This window comes from Homo sapiens, chromosome 15, assembly GCF_000001405.40.
Source record: "Homo sapiens chromosome 15, GRCh38.p14 Primary Assembly".
Taxonomy (NCBI): domain Eukaryota; kingdom Metazoa; phylum Chordata; class Mammalia; order Primates; family Hominidae; genus Homo; species Homo sapiens.
The window spans coordinates 21366763-21384427 of record NC_000015.10 but is presented as its reverse complement, the minus strand read 5'-3'; the positions used below and the strand labels follow the sequence as shown (position 1 = coordinate 21384427).

At 41.6% G+C, this 17665-nt stretch overlaps 2 pseudogenes across 1 annotated transcript; one reads left to right on the top strand and one right to left on the bottom strand.

Annotated features, from left to right (window-relative positions):
* On the bottom strand, window positions 362–2045 carry GRAMD4P6 (GRAM domain containing 4 pseudogene 6; annotated as a pseudogene).
* Window positions 10460–12935, top strand: CXADRP2 (CXADR pseudogene 2; annotated as a pseudogene). Its single transcript, NR_024387.1, has one exon. The product of NR_024387.1 is annotated as a CXADR pseudogene 2 (transcript).
* Window positions 12936–17665: the final 4730 nt, after the last annotated feature.

Genomic DNA, 17665 nt, shown 5'->3' with positions numbered 1-17665 from the left:
GTGGGTCCCAAGGTCAGGAAGGCCTGTAAGGTGGAGGGCAAGGTCTCTCTTTCCAGGCTGGAATGGAGGAAGATGTGGTGGCTGAGGGGCTGCATGTCCTCCTCACAGCACGCCCCTGAGAACATTTATCCTCCTGAGCCGCGAGTGTCCCTCAGGGGTGTCTAAAGCGCTGGGTGGGGCCCTTATAGGCCTTAGGAGCTCTGGCCCATTAGTGGTCCGTAAAACGCAGAGGTGAACACCATAGAACAACAGGTCCAGGAGAATTTTGTAAAAGCTCTGAGGATGCCCTTTTTTGTTCTCCCACTGCAAAATTGTTTTAAAAAGGAAAAAATCCAGCAATGTCCGGGAAAAGTCAATACTGAGTGTCAGCGCGGGATGCTGCTGCTGATACGATCCCGGCGTCCTGGCCGAAAGTGGCCTCCTCGGGGACCGCATCTCCGCGCACCATGGCAGCAAACGCCAGCGGTTTGTGGGCAGATGGTGTCCCTGTGGCCATCCCCGCTCCTGAGTGCGGAAGGACAGACAGGAGCGGGGACTTCTGGGTGTTCCTGGTGTCAGCCAGCTTGACGCCGTTGTTCCTCCTGGACGTCCGGGATTTGGAGAAGCACCTGGTTCCTGATGGAGGCCGTGGGCCTCTTGGTCCCCGCTTACCAGGCAGCGGCGCCGGCCTAGTTCTCAGCCCCGCCCCCGATGGGCGCCGCCTTCCATCAGGCCAAAGACTTTCCTCCAAACTGCCCTTCTTGGGGCGGGGAAGCAGCATCCTGGGCCTCCCCTGGGGCCTGTGGCGCTGGCAGCAGCTCCACGTTGAGGTCGCCTGCAGCCTGCACCGCGGAGCGCTGGAGGTCCCTGAACCCGGCGTGGGGAGGCCAATCCGCAGGTGCCTGGTGCCCGGTGCCGGTCGCAGTCTCAAAAGCGCCTGGAGGTGACATCCAGGAGCACCACCGCGCCGCCCGCAGGGAGACGCATGGCAAGGCGCGCCCCCTAAAGCGGCCAAGGAAGAAGCAGAAGGACAGGAAGGCACCCAGAGCTTGGGGTGATCTCAGGCCGCGCGCCCCAAGTTCCTGGTCTCTGGGAGGTTTTTTTTAAATTTCTTCCATATTATTATTTTTATTATTATTAACTTTTCAAGATGGATTAAAGACTTAAATGTTAGACCTAAAACCATAAAAACCCTAGAAGAAAACCTAGGCAATACCATTCAGGACATAGGCATGGGCAAGGACTTCATGTCTAAATCACCAAAAACAATGGCAACAAAAGCCAAAATTGACAAATGGGATCTAACTAAACTAAAGACCTTCTGCACAGCAAAAGAAACTACCATCAGAGTGAACAGGCAACTTACAGAATGGCAGAAAAATTTTGCAATCTACCCATCTGACAAAGGGCTAATATCCAGAATCTACAAAGAACTTAAAAAAATGTACCAGAAAAAATCAAACAATCCCATCAAAAAGTGGGCGAAGGATATGAACAGACACTTCTCAAAAGAAGACATTTATGCAGCCAACAGACACATGAAAAAATGTTCATCATCACTGGCCATCAGAGAAATGCAAATCAAAACCACAATCCGGGAGGTCTTGCCAAAGACGATGTGGGCTTTCTGGGCAATGTCCAGCCTGAGCTGGAGCTTCTGGGACGCGGTCAAGTGGTCCTTTGGAGATTCCACGGCTTCGGATCCCTACTGCAGGATGCTCCGCTGTGTCTGCCAGCCTCTGGCGTTTTGCTGAGGGGTAACCTCGGAATGTATAGAAATAAGAACACTGGGATGGCCCAGTCATGACCCAGGCATTCCTGCACACAGTGGTGGCAAAGGCAGGCGCTCAGACAAAGTGCCCGGTCGGCTTGGTGAGAGTACTTTACAGGTTAGTGACAGACTTGGTCCCGTGCTTGTGTCCTCTCATGTTTTCAGTTAACCTGCGGACGCCCAGGGGCTCCTCCATCTCCACCGTGTTCTCCTCGGGCTGAAGCCCAAAGTCCCCCATTTTCTCCTCAAACGGCTCACAGAGCCACTTCTGCAGGCAGGAGGACAGCGGTGGGCTCAGTGGCTGACCTGGGAAGCCACATCTGAAGGAACTGCTGGGTGACTATGGCCGTAAGTCAATCAAAGCAGACTTTCCCTGGCTTGCTGCGCTACATTGATTTTGTTTTCATATTTTAAAAGACGCAGAAGGGAGGTCCTAGGAAATTTGCCCAATGCAGATGCTGACAAGAGTGGTGACATGAAAAAGATTACCCAGAAGGAAAACAAGAGCTATTTTCTAAACATCTGAAATCTGTGTAGGCTTTTGGAAAAGTGAAACTAGATGCAAAGCAGCATGATATAATTCTGGCAATTTCCACTGACACAGAACTCAGTCAATCTGAATTAATCTAAGGGTTACAAGGAAAATGGCACTCCAAGAGGTACCTACTAACATCACTCAGCTGCTGTGAAATAGGCTTACAGACAACACGGAGTGTCAATTATCCAATGTTTAAAGTCAGTGATACAGATTGGACTACAATCTCTATGGCTCATAAAGTCTTCTTTAAAGGATTGATAGATGATTTATCTCATATGTAGACAATGATTCTCAGCAGTTAGCTAGCACAACTTGCTAATATCAATTGCTTGAGAAAATCAGATAATTGCTTGAGAAAATTAGGACATTGCTTGAGGATGTTAGGTAATTAAATAAATTACTTTTTTTAAGAATAGTTTAATGTTTTGGCAAGTAGACTTTAAAATAGATTGGTAATATTTTAAAGGCTACTTTTAAAGAAGTAGCAATATAACATGTTTAATTATGAAAAATAATGTTGGAAACAATTCAATTTTCTATCAGATAATTTCACAAATATAGAAATACCATCTCAATAATTAGAAGAAGTAGCAGCAATTTCTGTCATTTTTATGCAAGTTACTCCTAGTCCATTTATCTGGTCTTAAATAGTGTTTTTAAAATTTGTTTTCAAACAAGGCAAATCATAAATAATAGAATATATTTTACAATAATTGAAGTTAACAAAAAATAAGAGCCATTTAAAAAATTGTATTAGATTGTTTAAAAATGTTGTGGGTACATAGTATGTGTATGTATCTGTGGGGTCCCTGAGATGTTTTGATACAGGCATGCAAGGTGAAATAAGCACATCTTGGGGAATGGGGTATCCCTCCCCTCAAGCATTTATCCTTCAAGTTATAAAAAATTCAATTACAGTCTTAGTTATTTCAAAATGTACAACGAAATTATTATTGGATATAGTCACCCTATTGTGCTATAAAATAGTAGGTCTTATTAACTCTCTATTTTTATACCCATTAACCATCCCCACCTTCCCACAAAATCCCCCCCCCAACTACCTTTCCCAGCCTCTGATAACCATCCTTATACTCTCTATGTCCATGAGTTTGTTTTGATTTTAGATCCCACAAATAAGTAAGAACATGTAACATTTGTCTTTCTGCGCCTGGCTTATTTCACTTAATATAATGATCCATAATGTTCCATCAGTGTTACTGACAATGACTGGATCTTGTTCTTTGTTACAGCTGAATAGTCCTCCATTGTGTATATGTACCACATTTTCTTTATCCATTCATCTGTTGATGGACACTAAGGTTTCTTCCAAATCTTAGTTTTGTAAACAGTGCTGCAACAAATATGGGAGTGCAGATATGTATTTGACATACTGATTTCCTTTATTTTTGGTATAGACCCAGCAGTAGGATTGCTAGATCATATGCTAGCTCAACTTTTAGTTTATTGAGAAACATCCAAACTGTTCACCTTGGTGGTTTTATTAATTTACATTCCCAGGAGCAATGTACAAGTGTTCCGTTTTCTCTGCTTCCCTGCTAGCATTTGTTACTGCCTGTCTTTTGCATACAAGTCTTATAAACTGTGGTGAGATGATATCTCATTGTAGTTTTGATTTGCATTTCTCTGATGATCAGTGATATTGAGCACCTTTTCTTATACCTGTTTGCCATTTGTAGGTCTTCTTTTGAGAAATATCTATTCGAATCTTTTGCCCCCTTTTTTTTAACCAGGTTATTAGATTGTTTCTTAAAGAGTTGTTTGAGCTTTTTATATATTCTGATTATTAATCCTTTGTTGGATGAGTAGTTTGCAAATATTTTCTCTCATTCTGTGGATTATCTCTTAACTTTGTTGCTTGTATCATTTTCCGTGCAGAAGCTTTTAACTTAATGTGATCCATTTGTCCATTTTTGCTTTGGTTGCCTGTGCTTGTGGGGTATTGCTCAAGATATTTTTGCCCAGACCAATATCCTGGAGATTTCCCCCAAAGTTTTTTTGTGCTAGTTTTATAGTTTGAGGTCTTAGCTTTACATCTTTAATCAACTTTGATTTTACTTTTGTATTCAGTGATAGATACTAGTCTGTTTTCATTCTTCTGCATATGGATATCCAGTTTTTTCAACACCATTTCCCACCAGTGTATGTTCTTGGCACCTTTGTCAAAAATGAGTTCACTGTAGGTATGTAGATTTGTTACTGGGTTCTCTATTGTGTTTCATTGATCTATGGGCCTCTTTTTATGTCAGTACCCTACTCTTTTGGTTACTGTAATTCTGTAGTATAATATGAAGTTAGATAATATAATTCCTCCAGTTTTATTTATTTATTTATTTTTGCTTAGGATAGTATTATTTCTTATACTGAAAGCATTCTATGTTATTATTAATCTAATTTTGCAGTTTTACAATGCTATCCTCTTTTACAAAGCTGTGATCAACTCAAAGTCCAGATCAGGGTCAATTGTAGCTATTTGCAAAAGTAGCAATATTCTGGCCAGGGGTGGTGGCTCATGCCTATAATCCCAGCACTTTGGGAGGCCAAGACAGGCAGGTCACCTGAGGTCAGAGGTTCAAGACCAGCCTGGCCAACATGGTGAAACCCTGTCTCCAATAAAAATACAAAAATTAGCCGGGGATGAAGGCAGATGCCTGTAATCCCAGCTACTCAGGAGGCTGAGGCAGGAAAATCACTTGAACCCGTGAGGTGGAGGTTGCAGTGAGCCCAGAATGCACCATTGCACTTCAGCCTGGGTAACCAAGTGTGACTCCGTCTCAAAAAAAAAAAAAAAAAAAAAAAAAAAAAAATTACTATACTGTGTAATTATTGAGAGCATAATTCACTATTATGTGGATCAGAGAGCAGAGCATTCTGAATGCATGAACATATCTTTAACATTTCAATACATTACTCATAATTACTAATGAACTAAAGAGAAACCAAGAAATTATGGTGATAGTTATATTGACTTGGTGAAATGTAGACACAAAATAACGGTAAGATGAGAAATGTGTTAACACAGGCTATAAGGGCATGCAAGAATAAAAATAGGGGAGAAAACAGGAGAGTTTTTCAAGAGCTTTCTGGTCATGTAAGTCAATTTGTATCGGTTAATTTTTAAAAAGTTTATTTACATGCAATAAACTGCACATACTTCAATTGTACATTTTGATAATTCTTGGCATTTGTAGCTCTACAAAACCAACAACATATGAAAATAGCAAACATATCCATTACCTTTACCACCAAAGTTTCCTTGTGCTTTTTCTACTCACTTTTTCCTGCCTATCCCCATTCCATCCACAGGCAACCACTGATCCACTTCTAGTCACTATCCGTGAGTTTTTATTTCCAAATACATAAAATCATAGGGTATGTATACTTTCTGATCACTCAGCATCACTATTTTTGAGATTTATTCATGTTGCTACATCTATCAATTGTTCTGTTCTTACTAGGGAGTATTATTTCATTATATACAGATACCATAGTAAGTTTATAAGTCACAAATTCACCTGTCCATGGATATTTGGACTATTTTCAGGTTTTGGCTGTTGCAAGTAAAGCTGCTATGAAGATTCATGTAAAATCCTTTGAATGGGCATATGCTCTTAGGTTTTCATCTCTACTGGAATAGATAGCTATATGGCTATCATGTCTGTAATATGCAAACACAAAGCCTGACAAAACTGATTTCTAAAGTGGAAATTCCACTGGAGAACCTTGACTCCAACCTGGCTTTTGAGATTATCTCCTATGTCTGGTGCAATGATTGGTCCTGGGGTAGCCACATGACCCAAGGGGGACCATGTTTAAACTTCTGAGTTTTCACCGAGGTTAACATGCATTTGTTGAAAGAGAAACCCCTTTTCCCCTACTCCCCCAGCTGCAAATGCCTTCAGGGATTATATCATGTTGGAACATTTGGTTACAGTGTTTCCTAAACTTTGGGGGTAAAAATTGTTCAAGTAGGTAAAAATGGAGCACACACAAAGAAAAAAGGAGTCCAGAAATATCAAATAAAGAAAGGGCCTCCATAAAATCATTTGAACTTATGATTAATTCATTAGTCATTAAAATAAGTTTAGTGTACAAAGAATCATCCCTCCAACCACCCTTTATTCCTTCACCAGGTTTAAGTTACATTTTTAAACTTGCATACAAAAGATTTGTCATTAACTTAGACATCAAAATCCCTTGTCTCCAAGAGCAATCATTCAACTCTGTCCCTCTCATTATTACAATAATATGTTCACTTTATTCTACATACACCTGCTCGTTGCCCTTGTCTCCCTATTCTATTCTGTTAAAGTTATATCCAGACATTTATTTCATTTTATATCAAAGAAACTGTATACACGTTTTTAATCTTAGAAAAATTTCTGAGTAATCTTTTGTCTCATATTCGATTTTAAGCCACCCAAGAAGCATTATTTTTTCATTTAGCATTTTAACTTTTCTAACCCAGGACTTTTATAGTAGATATTATGTCTTTTTCTAAATGTTCTGCTTCAATTTACATTTTAAATCTAATTTTTAAAAAGTGTATGTTTTGAATATTAGCATCATGCATCTCAGGCCTAAATATCCCTTGATAACTAATATTGTCCTTTTTTCTCTACATTTTTCACATATTTCAATAGGGAGCTATATTGCCTGCCACAATAAAAGTTTTTGTCAATATAACATAACACATAGGCAAAATATTGTTTCCAAGTGATTGATGATGTGGTGCCTTCAGTCTAGTCCCAACCCCTCAATGTAATCATCATCCCTAAATCTAATGAAATAGGAAATAAATATTTCATTTTGTTTCTAAAATTCAGCAGAAAAATATACAGCCTGTCACATATAGCCTGTAACACCAACATATAAAAATTAAAGCAGTTCCTTCTCCACTCCCACTGCTTCACTTGACTAGCCTTAAAAAATAATAATAATAATAAATAAAAGCAAAATTGTTCCTTTACTTATCTTTGAAATCTAATGGATATACTATCAGAAAAGCTCTTATGTATATGGAGGGCCTCTATAAAATATAAACTGTTAACTAGAAAAGTAGATTTATATGATAGTTAAATTTAAAACACAATTATATATAGTACCTTCCCAAATGCACCAGTACTTATTTCAGAATGCATGATGTAATTGACTAAACCATTTAGGGCTAGACCTCTGAAATAAAAGGCATTCACACTTTGTGATTCCTGGGGAAATATTCAAAATAGAAACTTGCAGAATCTTTACCTGATCATGATAAAAAAAAATGTTCCTACTTGTTAATATGCCACAGCTTTTACAAGGTCAGCAAAAAGAGATTATCCCACAATAAAAGCTGATGGCCAAAATTATCTGCCTTACATTAGTTACCATAATATCTATTAAGTGTAAATTTCTTCTGAAGGAAAACAGATACACTTTTCTCAGAAATGTCTTTAGATGAAGATCTAGCACATCTGTGTTCCTCACTTTTTAAAATGTTGATTTTATTGATAAATAAATATATATAGGGTACAATGTGGTACGATACATGTAGATATTGTGAAATGGTCTAATTAGGCTAAATAACGTATCCTTCACCTCAGATATGTATTACATTATGGTGAAACATTTAAAATGTACTATTTTAGCACTTTTAAGATATGCACTACATTATGAGTAACTGCAGTCACTTTGCTGTGCACCATATCACCAGAATGTCTTTCTCCTAACTGAAGCATTATCCCATTCAATATTTCCCCTTTTTCCACCCCTGCCCCCCACTCTGCTCAGCCTCTGATAAACCACCATTCTATTCTTAACTTCTATGAGTGCACAGTTTTGGATTTCACATATAAGTGATACCATGAGATATTTGTCTTTCTGTGTCTGGCTTATTTTACTTAGCATAATGTCCTCTAAATTCATCCATGTTTTTGCAAATGACAGATTTTCATTCATTTATAAAGATAAGTAGTATTTTTGTATGCATCCTACATATACTTTTAACTTTCCACAGCTTTATTGAGATATAATTTATACATTGTGTAATTCACTCATTTAAAGTACAAACTTCAAATTCTTTTAGTATATTAACTGGATGGACAAATAATCATCATAATATAATTTTAGAACATTTTATTTTCCTTAAAAGAGACTTGCGCCCATTAGCAATCTTTCCCCATTTTCTCCAGTCTTTTTTAAACCCCTCCTAGTCTAGGCAACCACTCGTCTACTTTCTGACTATGAATTTGCCTATTCTGGACATTTCACATAAATGGAATTATAATAACACATAGTCACTTTTTACTCACATCTTTCACCTAACATATTTTTAATGTTCATCCATTTTGGAGCATGCATTAACAGTTTTTTACCTTTTCTTGCTAAATAAGATTCTATTTTATGGACACACCACATTTTATTTATCCACTCCTCAGCTGATGAACATTTCTGTTGTTTTCTACTTTGTGTTGCTATAAACATTTGTGTACTACTGTTTGTGTAGCATTTGTTTTATTTTCTTTTTGGTAAACACATAGGAGTGGAATTGCTGGGTCACGTGATAACTCTATGTTTAACCATTTGAAGAACTGCGAGACTGCTTTACATTTTAAAGTCTCACCAGTGGTGTAGAAGGGTTCCAATTTTTCCACATATTTTTATCTAGTCTTCAGTTGATAAGCACTTAGGTTGTTTCTAATTCATGGGTATTATGAATAATGCTGCAATGAACATGAAATTGCAGATGTCTGTTTTTGACATACTGATTAAAATTCCTTTGGACACGTATCCAGAAGTGGGATTGATGGATCATAGGGTAAATATATTTATAATTTCTTGAGGAAGCTTCATACTGTTTTCCAAGATGGCTGTGCTAATTTCCATTCTTACCAACAGTGCACAGGGTTTCTTTTTCTCCACATCCTCATCAACACTTATCTTCCATCTTTTTTTATAATAGCCCTAGTAAAATGTGTGAGGTGATATCTCATTGTGGCTTTGATTTGCATTTCTCTGATAATTAGAAATGTTTATGATTTTTTCATGTACCTGTTGGCCTTTTGTATGCCTTACGAAATGTCTATTCTGGTTCTTTGCTTATTTTTTTTAATAAGCATAGTTTTATTCTTATGTTTGAGTAGGTTGAGTTACTTATATATTATTATATGAGCCCCTTATCTGATGTATGGTTTAAAAATGTTATCCCATTTGTGGGTTCTCTTCATTCTATTATCACTTCTTTTCCTGTGGAAAAGCTTTTTAGTTTTATGCAATCTCATTCATGTGTTTTTGCTTTTGTTGCCTGTGCTTTTGGAATAATCTACAGAAAATCATAGCTCAGGCCAATGTCATACAGTCTTCTTCTATATTTCCTTGTAGTAGTTTTACATTTAAGTCTTTAATTTTGATTTCATGCTTGTATAAAGAGCAAAAGAAAAGTCAAATTTTATTCTTCTGTATGTGGATAGTCAGTTTTTTCTACACCATTTATTGAAAATAATTTTCTTTCTTCATTGTGTATTTTTAGTTATTTTATCAAAAAGTCAATTGACCACAGACATACGGATTTATTTACGGGTTCTATATCCCTTTGCACTGTTCTACATGTCTGTTTTTATGCCACTGCTATGTTGTTTTAATTACTATAGCTTTGTAATATAGTTTGGAATCGGGTAGTCTGATGCCTCCAGCTTTATTCTTTTTGTTCAAGATTGCTTTGGTTAGTCAGGGTCTTTTGTGGTTTCATACAAATTTTAGCAGTAATTTTTCTATTTCTGGGAATTTGATAGTGGTTGCATTTAATCTGTAGATTGCTTTGGGTAGCATTGACACTTTTACAATACTAATTTTTGAATCAATCAATAAAGGATGTTTCTCCATTTATTTATGCCATTTTAACTTTTTTCATCAATGTGCTATAGTTTTCAGTGTGCAAATCTTTCACATTCTTGATTAAATTTACTCCTAAGTCTTTTACATATTTTTATATCTGTTTTGATTCTATTATAAATTGAATTGCCTCATTAATTTATTTTTCAGGTAATAGTTTGTCATTAATGTATAGAAACAATAATGCTATCTGTATGATTTTGTAACTATTAACTTTATTGAATTTCTTTATCAGCTTTAACCGTTTATTGTGGTGGAGTCTTTAAGATTTTCTCTACCTTGAGTGCGCCAGGCGCGGGGAGCCTAGGACCTGGAGCGAGAGCCGCCTACCTGCAGCCGCCGCCCACGGCACGGCAGCCACCGTGGCGCTCCTGCTGCGCTTCGTGCTCCTGTGCAGAGTCGCGGATTTCATCAGAGGTTGGAGTATCACTACTCCTGAGCAGATGATTGAAAAAGCCAAAGGGGAAACTGCCTATCTGCCATGCAAATTTACGCTTAGTCCTGAAGACCAGGGACCACTGGACATCGAGTGGCTGATATCACCAGCTGATAATCAGAAGGTGGATCAAGTGATTATTTTATATTCTGGAGACAAAAATTATGATGACTACTATCCAGATCTGAAAGGCCGAGTACATTTTAAGAGTAATGATCTCAAATCTGGTGATGCATCAATAAATGTAACGAATTTTCAGCTGTCAGATATTGGCACAGATCAGTGCAAAGTGAAAAGAGCTCCTGGTGTTGCAAATAGGAAGATTCAGCTGGTAGTTCTTGGTAAGCCTTCAGGTACAAGATGTTACGTTGATGGATCAGAAGAAATTGGAAGTGACTTTAAATTAAAATGTGAACCAAAAGAAGGTTCACTTCCATTACAGTATGAGTGGCAAAAATTGTCTGACTCACAGAAAATGCCCACTTCATGGTTAGCAGAAATGACTTCATCTGTTATATCTGTAAAAATGCTTCTTCTGAGTACTCTGGGACATACAGCTGTACATCAGAAACAGAGTGGGCTCTGATCAGTGCCTGTTGCGTGTAAACGTTGTCCCTCCTTCAAATAAAGCTGGACTAATTGCAGGAGCCATTATAGGAACTTTGCTTGCTCTAGTGCTCATTGGTCTTATCATCTTTTGCTGTCGTAAAAAGCGCAGAGAAGAAAAATATGAAAAGGAAGTTCATCACGATATCAAGGAAGATGTGCCGCCTCCAAAGAGCCACACGTCCACTGCCAGAAGCTACATAGGCAGTAATCATTCATCCCTGGGATCCATATCTCCTTCCAACATGGAAGGATATTCCAAGACTCAGTATAAACAAGTACCAAGTGAAGACTTTGAACGCACTCCTCAGAGTCCGACTCTCCCACCTGCTAAGGTAGCTGCCCCTAATCTAAGTCGAATGGGCGCGATTCCTGTGATGATTCCCGCACAGAGCAAGGATGGGTCTATAGTATAGAGCCTCCATACATCTCATCTGTGCTCTCCGTGTTCCTTTCCTTTTTTTGATATATGAAAACCTATTCTGGTCTAAATTTTGTTACTAGCCTCAGAATGTATCAGAAAATAAGTTAATCAGGAGCTGTAAGGAATATATTTTTAAAAATTTTTGTTTGGTTATATCGAAATAGTTACGGGCATTAAAGTTAGTAAAGACAAGTTTACCATCTGAAAAGGCTGGATTTTCTTTAAGAGGCTGATTATAAAGGTTTCTAAATGTTATCAGTACCTAAGTAAGATGTAGCACTTTGAGTATGAAATCATAGGTGAAGAAATCGGTGAACTTACTTGCATACCAAGTTGATACTTGAGTAACCATCTGAAAGTGGTACTTGATAATTTTTACCATTATTTTTAGGATGTGTATCTCATTTATTTATGGCCCACAAGTCTCCCCCAAATTAGTACAGAAACATCCCTGACAAAATTACTTATGTACGTTTGTACTTGTTTTCACAGCTCCTCGGAAAACTCTGTGTTAGGAATATCTCTAAAAACATAGAAAACACTACAGTGATTTAGAAATTACTAATTTTACTTCTAAGTCATTCATAAACCTTGCCTATGAAATGACTTCTTAAATATTTAGTTGATAGACTGCTACAGGTAATAGGGACTTAGCAAGCTCTTTTATATGCTAAAGGAGCATCTATCAGATTAAGTTAGAACATTTGCTGTCTGCCACATATTGAGATGGCACTAGGTGCAATAGCAGGGATAGATTTTGTTGGTGAGAGGTCTCATGCCTTGAGATCTGTGGTGGTCTTTAAAATGGTGGCCAGCCAGACCAAGGATGTAGTATCTCATAGTCCCCAACTAAATGCTGGCTTTCCACTTTAGGTGATATTTTTCTAATTAGAAAAATATTATAACTCACTTATTGTTTGACAATTATAGATTGAAATTTCCTAATTCTAAATTTTAAGTGGCTCTTCGGTTTCAGTGCTCTATGTTGTTTGTTGTTGGTTTTGGATGGCATTACATATTATATGTTCTAGAAACATGTAATCCTAAATTTACCCTCTTGAATATGATCCCTGGATGATATTTTTATCATAAATGCAGAATAATCAAATACATTTTAAGCAAGTAAGTGTCCTCCATCAATTCCGTATTCCAGACTTGGGAGGATGTACAGTTGCTGTTGTGTGATCAAACATGTCTCTGTGTAGTTCCAGCAAATCAAGCTGAGCTTCAAAAAAGTTTGAGTCTCAGTTTTGTGAAAGTGATTTATTCTTAAAAAAAAAAAAAAAAGAAAGAAAGAAAAAAAGAAAAAGAAAAAAAGATAAGAAAAAGGAATAAAGCAACCACTCCTCCTTGTCAAATGTGCTAAATATCATTTTAGGAGAAGAGAGTGGACTTATTGTATCTCCCTTAAGATTGTGAGGGAGTGTGGATACAGTAGAATGAGCCAATAGTTTCTTTATAATAAATACGGTCTGCAATAAATTATTTCACTAGCTCTAAAACCTTTCCCTAGATTTTAGTGGGGAGTTGGTTTCTGTTAATATCTTTGGGTGCTGTGGTGGTAAATGCTACATTATAAACGGTGGCATGTATTTACAGTTACAGTATTGTGTGTACACTTTTTAATGGTAAACTTAAGCTGAATGTGTAATGGACTTGTGTATAGTTTTACATATTTGGAAGCATTTTAAAAATAGGTTTTAACCTTACATAAAATTACTTTTATACTTGTGTTAACATTTTCTTCTGTGCCTTTTGGGTAATTTAATTTCTGTTATGAATTTCTGGTGCCTATGAGCTAGCTATCACCTACCTGAAAGTTGCTTAGAGGTGAAGGTACTGTTTCTAAAAACACATCACTGTGACATCTTTCTATCCTCATATTTTCAAGCTTGCCTCTTTTCTGTTCTTTGTGGATATAACTTAAGTGATTGTGTTATTCATAAAGATTTAGAAATTTCAATATTCCCAACACTCTGACTATGTTTCTGATTTTATAACAGTAGCCATTTTTGAATGTCAGATGTTTGGCCTGTTTTATATGAATAAAGTTTATTTATAAAATATTATAAAAATAAGTAAATAGAACATTAATAATAAAAAAAGATTTTCTGTATCTTAAGATTATATTTTCAGAAAACAGAAACAATCTTACCTCTTCCTTCCCTATATGGATTTCTTTTATTTCTTTGTCTTGTGTAATTGATCTGGCTAGGCAATTACACATAATGTTTTCAGCATTTGTAATTTTACATCAAATCCATCCATTGTAGCACATTGACTGCTACTTTTCAACTTGTAAACCTGGACATTTATCACCACTCTTCCTCCAGTACAGGAGTCCATGGCCCGGTGTGGGCCCTACTGTGCCACAGTCCAGGGCACGGCTGGGCGCAGGTTCTCTCGTGCAAGAGTCCGCAGCTCTGTGGAGCAAGAGTTCTCCAGTGCCTTAGACCAGGGTGAGGCAGGGGTGAGGCTCCTTCAGTAGCTCAGTCCAGGACGCAGCCCTGCGAGGGTCCTCCTGTGCAGGAGTACACGATGCTGCGGGGTCCTACTGTGCCTTAGTCCAAGACGCCAGGGGGCTGGGTCCTCTGGTGCCATAGTCCAGGATGCGAGGGGCTGGGTCCTCTGGTGCCATAGTCCAGGGTGCAGTGGAACAGGAGTCCTGTGGAGCAGCAGTCCAGGGCGCGATGGGGCATGGATTCTCAGGTGCCGCAGTCCAGAACACTGCAGGGCGGGATTCCTGCCTTGCTATATCCAGGGTGCCGCGGGGCGGGGGTTCTCTTGTGCAGGAGTCCAGGACGTGGCGGAGCAGGAGTCCTCCGTGTAGGTGTCCTCCGGTGCTGGAGTCCAGAGCTCAGTGAGGCTGGGTCCTCCCGTGCCATAGTGTAGGGCATGGCGGGACAGGGATCCAGCCCTGCGATAGTCCAGTGCTTGAGTCCGCAGTAAGGCAATGGTCCTCCAGTGCTGGAGTTCACGGTGTGGTGGGGTCGGGGTCCTTCGGTGACTTAGTCCAGGGCGTACCAGGGCGGGGTTCCACAGTTGCCATAGTGAGGATCCTGGAGGAGGGTGGTTCCTGCCTTGCTGTAGTCCGGGGAGCAGGGGGCAGGGGTTCTCTCTTGTCAGAGTCTCTGGCGCGATGGGGGTGGGCTGGGGGTTTTCCTATGTGATAGCCCACTGGGCGGTGAAGCCGGGTCCTCCCGTGCCTTTGTCCAGGGTGCAGGGGGGCGAGGGTCTTCAGTGGTGGAGTCCGTGGAGCAGCAGGGCGGGGGTCCTGCAGTGCCATATTCCAGGCCGCTGCGGAGTGGGGGACCTGTCCTGCAGTGGTCCAGGGCATGCGGGAATGGTGGTCCTCCTGTGCCATAGTCCAACGCGCAGCGGGGCGGGGGGTCACCTCGTCCTGCAGTCCACCAACCACGAGGCCCGGGTGCTGCTGTGCCTCAGTCCAGTGCGCGGTGGGACGGCGGTCCTGCTGTGCTGTAGTGCAGGACGCGGTGGCGCAGGGGTAGTCCAGAGAGCGCCGTGGCAGGGGGTCCTCCAGTGCTGGAATCCAGTGCAAGGCGGGTCAGGGGTCTTACCGTGCCGAAGTCGGTGGCAGGGGTCCTCCCGTGCCATAGTCTAGGGGGCGACGGGGCAGGGTTCTCTAGTGCAGGTGTCCAGGGTGTGGCAGGGCAGGAGTCCTCTGGTGCAGGAGTCCAGAACCTAGCCGAGGAGTCCTCCAATGCCAGAGTCCAGGGCTCTGCGGGGCCGGGTTCCCCCATGCCAGAGTGTAGGGCGTGTTCAGGCGAGGGTCTTGGCGTGCAGTAGTCCAGGGTGCGGTGGGGCAGGGGTAGTCCAGACCTCCATGGCGGGGGTCCCTCTGTGCAGGAGCCCAGTGCCCGGCGGATCGGGGGTCCTTCCGTGCTGTAGTCCGGGGCACGGCAAGGTGTGGGTCCTCTGGTGCCCTAGGTCGGGGGCGGCGAGTCAGAGGTTCTCCCGTGCCTTGGTCTAGGGCGTGGAAGGACTGGGGTCCTGGAGTCCACGCGGTAGCACAAGTTGCCCCAGGACCAGGTCCTCTGGAACCACAGTCCAGGGCGCTGAGGGGCAGGAGTAGTTCAGGGCGAGCCGGGGCCAAGGTCCTCGGGAGCCAGAGTCCAGGGTGTGGAAGGGTGGGGGTTCTGCAGTGCACAGTCCAGGACACCGCGGGGCGGGGCAGGGCGGGGATCCTCCGGTGCCTTAGTCCAGGGCTGAGCCGCGGTAGAGGTCCTTCAGTAGCATAGTCTAGCGCACGGCGTTGCAGGTGTCCTCCAGTGCCTGAGACCACGGCAGGTCGCGGGTCCCACTGTGCTCTAGTTCAGGATGGAGCAGGTCTGAGGTCTTCTGTTGCCTCAGTCTAGGGCGCTGGAGAGCGGGGATCCTCTGGTGCCAGAGTCAATGGATCCACCGGTCGGGGTCCTCCCATGTCTTAGCCCCGGGAGGGGAGAGGCGGGGGTCCTCCTTTGCCCTAGTCCAAGGCATTGTGAGGCCCCGCTCCTGCATTCTTAACTGTCTGTGCCTCTGCCGCCGCGGGGGAAAACTGCACCATCTCAGGCAAGCCTAACAGAGCAGCTGTCCTTAAAAGATTCCCAGTTGAGTGTGGTTCGGAGCAGGCCTCAGAAGTGTGCCCTTAGATGGCTTCAAGGGCTCTGGGCAATGTTTAAGGAATCCAGCTGACCTCAGTTACTCCGAGCCCTTTTCCACTCAGCAGAACTTCTGGCCACCGGGTCCTCTATCTGCGGAGCCCTTCTATCATCCCAGATCCCCACAGGGTGGACTCCGTCTCATCCTCACAATCTCAGCTCAGGCCTTATTCATCACAGCATTCCTGGCACCAGGCCTGGCCCATGAGAAATTGGTCAGATTAAGAGCTAAATGTGTTTCCATGGTCACTTGTTTTCTTCAGGCCTCCTTTCTTTGTGCCAGCATCTTTGGGTTTTGGTTAAAGTTTTCAGCAGCTGCATGAAGTTCCATTTTTCTTACCAGGTAAGAGACATAGCTTCATGAAAACAAAGGCAGAACGCTTGTGACCAGAGAACTCCCAGTCCTCTCCCTGCATAGGAAAACTGGACTTCTCCGGAGGGCTCCAGCTCCTGGGCAAATCTCTAGGGCCACTTAATTGGGCTGTCCCCCACCTTTGTTTCTGGTTTTGAAGGGGCGGAAGTTGGGAATCCTTTCTAAGTCTCTACACATGGAGCCCTTCTTTGGTGGGAAAGTCTTGACATATACCAGGATTGTCATTGACCTTTCAGAGCCTTCAAGAATCCTGAGCTGCTTTGGCTTCTGTTCCTGGAAGAGAGGCCACTGAACTGCTCTGGAGCTGGAGTTCAAGTTCAAATATTCATCACTGTTACTAAGCCTTTACATAGCATGTGATTTCTTTCCGGCAGGCTCATGGTCGCTTAGGTTTGCTTGTATGTAGATGGAGTGGTCTGCATCCTCATTCAGGTAACACCCCCAGCCTTTCATGCTGAGATTGGCCATTTTATTTGTAACTCACTGTACAATCCATTTGCTCTTCCAGTGTCCCTTAGAAGGATGCAGAGTGTACTGTAGAATGCCATAGAGACCTGGGTTTAGGGAAAATATTTGACCCAAAGTCCGCCAACTCACATGAGTATCTCCCCACAACTTGTACCGTGCTAGTCTCTGGGTATATAGCAAATGAAACCGTGCCTGAACAGATGTTACAAACACCCTCCCCTGAGAGACTCCAGGGCTGCTTTATTCATGCAAAACGGTGGGCTCTAATAAGCTCAGAGCTGAGAGGAACAAGTTTTCATTCCAGCGTTCTCAAAAACTCCCTTTGTGACTTTAGGCCTAATAATAATAACACTACCTAGGTAGTGAACACCTCTGTGCCAAGAAATATCATGATCATTGCCTGAGTTGTAATTCTCACAGTAGTCCTGCAGGACAGCTGCTATTACTGCTTATTATGCAGATGGGCAACCTGAGGCTCAGATGGAGTTAAGTGGCTTAATTGGTAGCAATAGAGCCAGGATT